The 6,551-nt window shown below is 37.7% G+C and overlaps 1 long non-coding RNA gene across 1 annotated transcript; it reads left to right on the forward strand.

Moving 5' to 3' along the window:
* The first annotated feature begins 2,317 nt into the window (after window positions 1-2,317).
* Window positions 2,318-4,887, forward strand: LOC124900942 (uncharacterized). Its single transcript, XR_007058697.1, has 2 exons — window positions 2,318-2,455; window positions 3,881-4,887. It is a non-coding gene; the product is annotated as an uncharacterized LOC124900942 (long non-coding RNA).
* Window positions 4,888-6,551: the final 1,664 nt, after the last annotated feature.

The following is a 6,551-nucleotide window of genomic DNA, read 5'->3' on the forward strand; positions in this document are numbered from 1 at the left end:
TGTAGAATAAGAAAAATAATTTAAGTGTGGTCATCCCAGGGATCCCTTCCTAGGTTTTTCCTCAGGGTTCCTTCTAAAATACTTGCATATATATTACTAACCTGGTTGTATCCAACTTAGAGGAAGGGAGGCAGGAGGTGTTCTAAAAATGTGACTAAATTCTCTTTTGCTACCTGAAAATCATGTGATTCAAATTAGTCAAGAGGAGGAGTTCTTTTACACTGCAAATAATCATTCCATTTTAATTTATATAGGTTTATGTTTCATCTGTTGTTTTGTTTTGTTGTCCAGGTGATGAACACTTGTACATACACTGCTTCCATGAGAAAATTGGAGCAGAGGTATTCTAACTTGGTTCATGTTGACTGGATTTTTTTTATTTCACCTCCCAGCCACACTATCTTTCTTCAGTTCAGATATCACTGAGTGTCTCTGGTACTTAAAAATCTTCCAGTGGCTCCCTAGTGCTCACAGACCAATGATCAGTAGCAGGAAGACAGTTCCCAAATCTTGTTTCCTCTCTAAATCCCTACTTCCCCAAGCCTTACTTATCTAATTCCCCAGACACTAAAGAGCACCAATGTCGAGCCCCTCCTTAAATGTCTCCTTTCCATACCTTCTAAACCTTTTCTAACCACTCCATTGCTTATACCCAGTGGTACTGTTATACCAGCTGACAGACAGCCTTGCGAAGACTTTCTCCTGCACACCAGCCTCTTCTAGACTGCAAGCGCCTTGAAGAGTAAATTGATTTTTGAAAACTTGCACCTATCACAGCATCTGGCATTAGCTAAGTGTACAATCAACTTTTGTAGACTTAATAAATTTCACATTAAGTTTGCAAAGTATCCTCCTGCTTCAGCATATCACCAGTAATACGGGATTAAATTTTATTTAATTAAAAGCAAAATTCAGAGGGCCAGTTTTTCTCCATGTAATTATTACACACTAGAGCCAGAATCAATACATGTTTGTGTCAAATTTTCACACCAAAAAAATGTAAAAACAACATTCTGGAATGATACATTGTTTGATGTTCAATATCTCCCTGGAAAAAACAGAAACAAAAACAAAAACAGAATAGACCTGTAGCACCAAAGCTGCAGTTCTTTAATTCCTAGCAAATCACTGCGTTTCCGTGACTTTGTCTTCATGGCAGTGTTTATCTCATTTAAATTTTATATCATAGTCTTAAAGGTCAATTCTCAAGTGGTTCAAGTTAGAAGAAAATTTGGGCTATTTTGTTGTTAATACCAGGAAACTCCAGGACTTGATATTAGTGTTTCTATCCTATTTTAGGTTCTGTCATGTTTTGTTGTAGGAATTTTGGGTGCATTTAGCTCTCTGGTTTTGGACTCAATAAATATTTATGAAGGATCTGCTGATATGGTTTAGCTGTGTGTCACCACCCAAATCTCATCTCAAATTATAATCCCCATATGTCGAAGGAGGGACCTGTAATCCCTATGCGTTGAGTGAGGGAGGTGACTGGATCATGGGGGAGGTTTCCCCCATGCTGTCCTCACAATAGTGAGTGAGTTCTCATGAGATCTGATGGTTTTATAAGTGTTTGGAATTCCTTCTTTGCTCTTCTCTCTCCTGTCACCTTGTGAGGAAGGTGCCTGCTTCCCCTTCTGCCATAATTGTAAGTTTCCTGAGGCCTCCCTAGCCATGCAGAACTGTGAGTCAATTAAGCCTCTTTCCTTTATAAATTACTCAGTCTCAGGGAAGTTCTTTATAGCAGCATGAAAACAGACTAAGACAATGACATTGTCTGCCTTTGTTGGCTCAATGTAATATATTCTGACAAAAACAGGGACCACGTAAAAAGAAAGCTGGATCATGTGTTAAACCTATTTTCAAGTACTAACATTCATTTCAATATACACCAGGAAATTTGGATGTTAGCAATGTTAAGCATTGCTTTTGAAGATTCTAGAGAGTCGCATATCGGTGGGCCAGCTGCCGAAGATTCATGATACTGATTCTAGCTTGGAGACTTTAAGCAGAAGCCTGTTATTATGTACCTTGGTGTCTGTGGAACCTAAACATGAATTTCCCACCACCTGTGACTGACCTCATATCGGGGTTTTCTAGAGCTTGTGGAAATATAAAAACCCACTTTGTACCATTATCATCAATAACTATGACTTTATGGAGACAAGCGCTCTAGGAATAAGATCAGAATGATGGCAGCTAAGATTTCCCCATCGCTGTACTGAGTGCTTCACAGACTTTATCCCATTTAATCTCCTTGGAAATCCTAGACAGTGGTACTTTTATATGCTGTTTCTTTTTCTTTATTTTTTTGACACAGGGTCTCACTCTGTCACCCAGACTGGAGTGCAATGATGCAATCACAGGTCACTGCAGCCTTGACCTGCTGAACTCAAGCAATCCTCCCATCTCAGCCTCCTGAGTAGCTGGGACTTTAGGCATGCGCCACCACACCCAGGTAATTTTTTTGTATGTTTTGTGAGTGGCCCAGGCTGGTCTCAAACTCCTAGGTTCAAGCAATCCATCTGCCCTGGCTGCCCAAAGTGTTGGAATTACAGGCATGAGCCACTGCCATTTTGAATCCATACCTTACCAATGAGAGAGCAAAGCCACAAAAATAAAAACTAGGAAATCTTACATTTTGGAAAGCTATGTATTTGAGGAAAGAAGAATGAGAGTAAGGAGGGAAACAAAGGCAGGCTTCCCAGTATTCCCTTTGACTGACTCTTGAAAGCTGCTGGTATTCACCTCACTCAATATGAGGTATACACAATCTACTATGGACATCCACCCAGAGGCTGCTGTGTTTCTGGGAGATGCTCAATGTTGGCTGCAAAAAATTCTGAACAGCAATCATGTTCTTGTTTGAGAATCTGCGAAAAGCAATGTGCTCCACTAAGCACTGACAATACAGTAGTAAATACGGTAGGCAAAGTCCCTATTCCCAAGTCACCTGCATTCCAAAGGGGTTAGGCCAGTAGTTGTTCAGATTGTCCAGGTTGTGTGGTCCTCTAGGTAATTCAATTTGGAGAAACTTCTTTCAAATAAGAACACCAGAAGTTATGAATATAAAATTAGGCACAAACGTGAATATTTAAAATAAAAAAATTTTCAACAAATAAATTTGAAACCCAACAAATACCATAAATACCAAACTGCAGAAAAATAACATAACATTTTAATTAATTACCTGCTTAACCCAGCAGTCAGCATGGTTCCTCTCACACATGAGGCACTAATAAATAAGTCTAAAGTGCTGATCGCTAAGATTACCTATGCACTACATTTTTATCCTATGGGTGCATTATAGGAGTCTCTTTCAAGGGCTTGTGATTATGATAAAGACCAGGAAACAAATACTGCCTACCTATATCCTGAAATATCTACAATGACTCATCCCAGACTCCTCTACTGAAGCAGTGACTTAAGCAAACAACTTAAGGCTAATTAAATTCCATTACCATTCATAATATTAAACTGAGTAAAAAGGTGACCAATAAAGAAGCCAACAGCACACCTATAATCCCAGCACTTTGGAGGCCAAGGCAAGAGAATTGTTGAGGCCAGGAGTTCAAGACCAGCCTAGGCAACATAATGAGACCCCTCCCCCCAGCAATATCTACAAAAAAAATTAAAAAATTAAAATTAGCCATACACAGTAGCATGTGCCTGTCAGCTTACTTGGGAGGCTGATGTGGGAGGATCGCTTGAACTTGGAGAGGTCGAGGCTGCAGTGAGCCATGATTGGGCCACTGAGCTCCAGCCTGAGTGAAAAAGCAAGACCACAAAAAAAAAAAAAAAAAAAGAATGGCTTGCAAACTGTAAATTACAGCTCTTACCCATGAATGGTGCCTTTGTGAAATATGGCATCGCTTTTCCACAGGTAAATCATCATGTTACCTCCAGAATTCTACTCCTCCATGCAGCTTCTCTGTGCATAAAATCCTTGGATAGAAGAAATGTCTGCTGGCCTAGAACTGATTTTAACACTGAAAATATTAAGGCCACATAACACAAGGCTGGGCAGGTGCATATCTCACCCAAAGCATCTGCTTTTCTGTAAGTAGCCAACCCATGTTATCAAGGGCCCATACAATCTTTACAGACCACTTTCAGGTAAAAGCATATTGTTTTCAAAGGCTACTTAGAACTGAAACTACTTGGTTCTATTCCAAGGTACAACCTCAGCCAAGTGATTTGCTTAATGGGAATTGCCAAACATAAAAAGATCAAATAACAAATTTCATTAAGTTCAAGAATCTATGACTCCTACAACTCAGTAGTTAAAGAAATAACAAATAATTCAATTTAAAAATGGGTTAAGAAGTTGAATGGACATTTCTCCAAAGAAAACGTACATATGATTAATGGGTAAACATATATATTTTTAAATGGTCAATGTCACTAATCATCAGGGAAACACAAATTGAAATCACAATAAGATATTACATCATACCTGTCAGGATGCCTATTATCAATGGAACCAAAACAACAAGTGTTGATATGGATATAGAGAAACTAAAACCTTTGTACACTGTTAGTGTGGGTGCAAAATGATGCAGCCACTGTATTAAACAGTGTAGAGATTCCTCAAAAAATTGAAACTAGAACTACCATAGGATACAGCAATCACACTTCTGATATTTCTCCAAAGGAATGTAAATCAGGATCTTAAAGAGATATTAGCACTCCCATGTTCACTGTGATACTGTTCACAATAGACAAGATGTGAAGCCAACCTATTGACAGATGAATAAAGAAAATGTGGTATATGCAAACAATGGAATATTATTCAGCCTTTAGAAAGAAGGAAATCCTGCAACATATGACAATATGGATGAACCTGGAGGGCGTGAAACTAACTAAATAAACCAGTCACAGAAAAACAAATACTGTATGACTCCATTTATATGAGCAAATCAAAACTACAATGAGATATCATCTCACCCATTTTGGATAAAATCGCTTTTATCCAAAAGACAGGCAATCATGAATGCTGCCAAGGATGTGGAGAAAATGGCACCCTGTTGGTGGGAATGTAACTTAATACAACCACTGTGAAAAACTGTATGGAGGTCCTCAAAAGACTAAAAATAGAATTCCCATATGATCCAGCAATCCCACTGCTAGGGATATTCCCAAAAGAGAGGAAATCAGCATACTGAGGAGATATCTGCACTCCCATAATTTCATTGCAGCACTATTTACAATAGCCAAGATTTGGAAGCAATCTAGGTGTCCATCAACAGATGAAGGGATAAAGAAAATGTGTTATGTATACACAATGGAGAACTATTCAGCCACAGAAAAGAATGAGAGCCTGTCATTTACCAGTGTGGATGAAACTGGAGATCATTACGTTAAGTGAAATAAGTCAGACACAGAAAGACAACCTTCACAGGTTCTCATCCAATTGTGGGACTTAAAAACTAAAAGAATTGAACTCATGGAGATAGAGAATAGAAGGATGGTTACCAGAGGCTAGGAAGGGTAGTTGGGGCTGAGGTGCAGTGGGAATGGTTAATGAGTACAAAAATATAGTTAGATAGAATACGTAAGATCTAGTATTTGGTAGCACAACAGGGTGACTACAGTCAACAATAATTCAGGACACAGTTTAAAATAACTAAAAGAGTATAATTGGATTGTGTGTAACACAAGGGAAGGATGAATGCTTGAGGCGATAGGTACCTCATTTACCTGGAGTGCATTTTACTCATTGTATGACTGTATCAAAATATTTATTGTACCCCATAAATATATGCACTTACTATGGACCCATAAAATTATTTTTAAAATAAAGAAAAGAAACTTAGAAACTTTAAACATAGAATCAATATCTAAGTTACCTCCCCAAGTTATAATACCTGACTAAAAGAACAGAGGAAATAGAGGAGAAGAAAGTATCAAATGAATTATAAAATTAAGTTTTCCAGTTGAAACAGCACAGCAAATTCCAGCCAAATAAAAGAAAAAGGACTCACCAAGACTCATTCCTATAAGGTCCATAAAACCAAGGATAAAGAAAAGATCCTACAAGGTTCTGAGGGTTAGAGAGGTGGGAGAATAGTTGCAGGAAAAAAAAAAAAATGAAATCAGAATGAAACCTGGAACAGGAGACCTAAAAATTCTAAACAAAGATGACATCCAGCACAAAAGTTTAACTCCTAAATTAATACTGAGATACTAGAAAACACATTTTTAATATGTGAGATCTCAAAAAAGTACCTCCCACATTTTTATCTTCTATAATAAAAAGACAATAGATAATGACTAAAGTGGATAAATCAAGAAACAGCAAGCATATGCAATTTCTTTAGAAATACAGAAATAAATACCAGGGTGAATAAAGCACTACTAATTTGGAAATAGTTGGCTTTTTGGAGTGGAACTGAGGGGTGAGAAAGGGTGAAACAGGAGATAACTGTTTATTATTAAATCCCCTCCAGTACTACTTGACTTGTGAATCTTTGTACTTGTATTATATCAACAAATTTTTTAATTTGAGAAAGAGAACGACAGATATACTTGCTGTATTAGTAATCACCCAAAAT

This window comes from Homo sapiens, chromosome 5 (assembly GCF_000001405.40).
Source record: "Homo sapiens chromosome 5, GRCh38.p14 Primary Assembly".
In the NCBI taxonomy this organism is placed as follows: domain Eukaryota; kingdom Metazoa; phylum Chordata; class Mammalia; order Primates; family Hominidae; genus Homo; species Homo sapiens.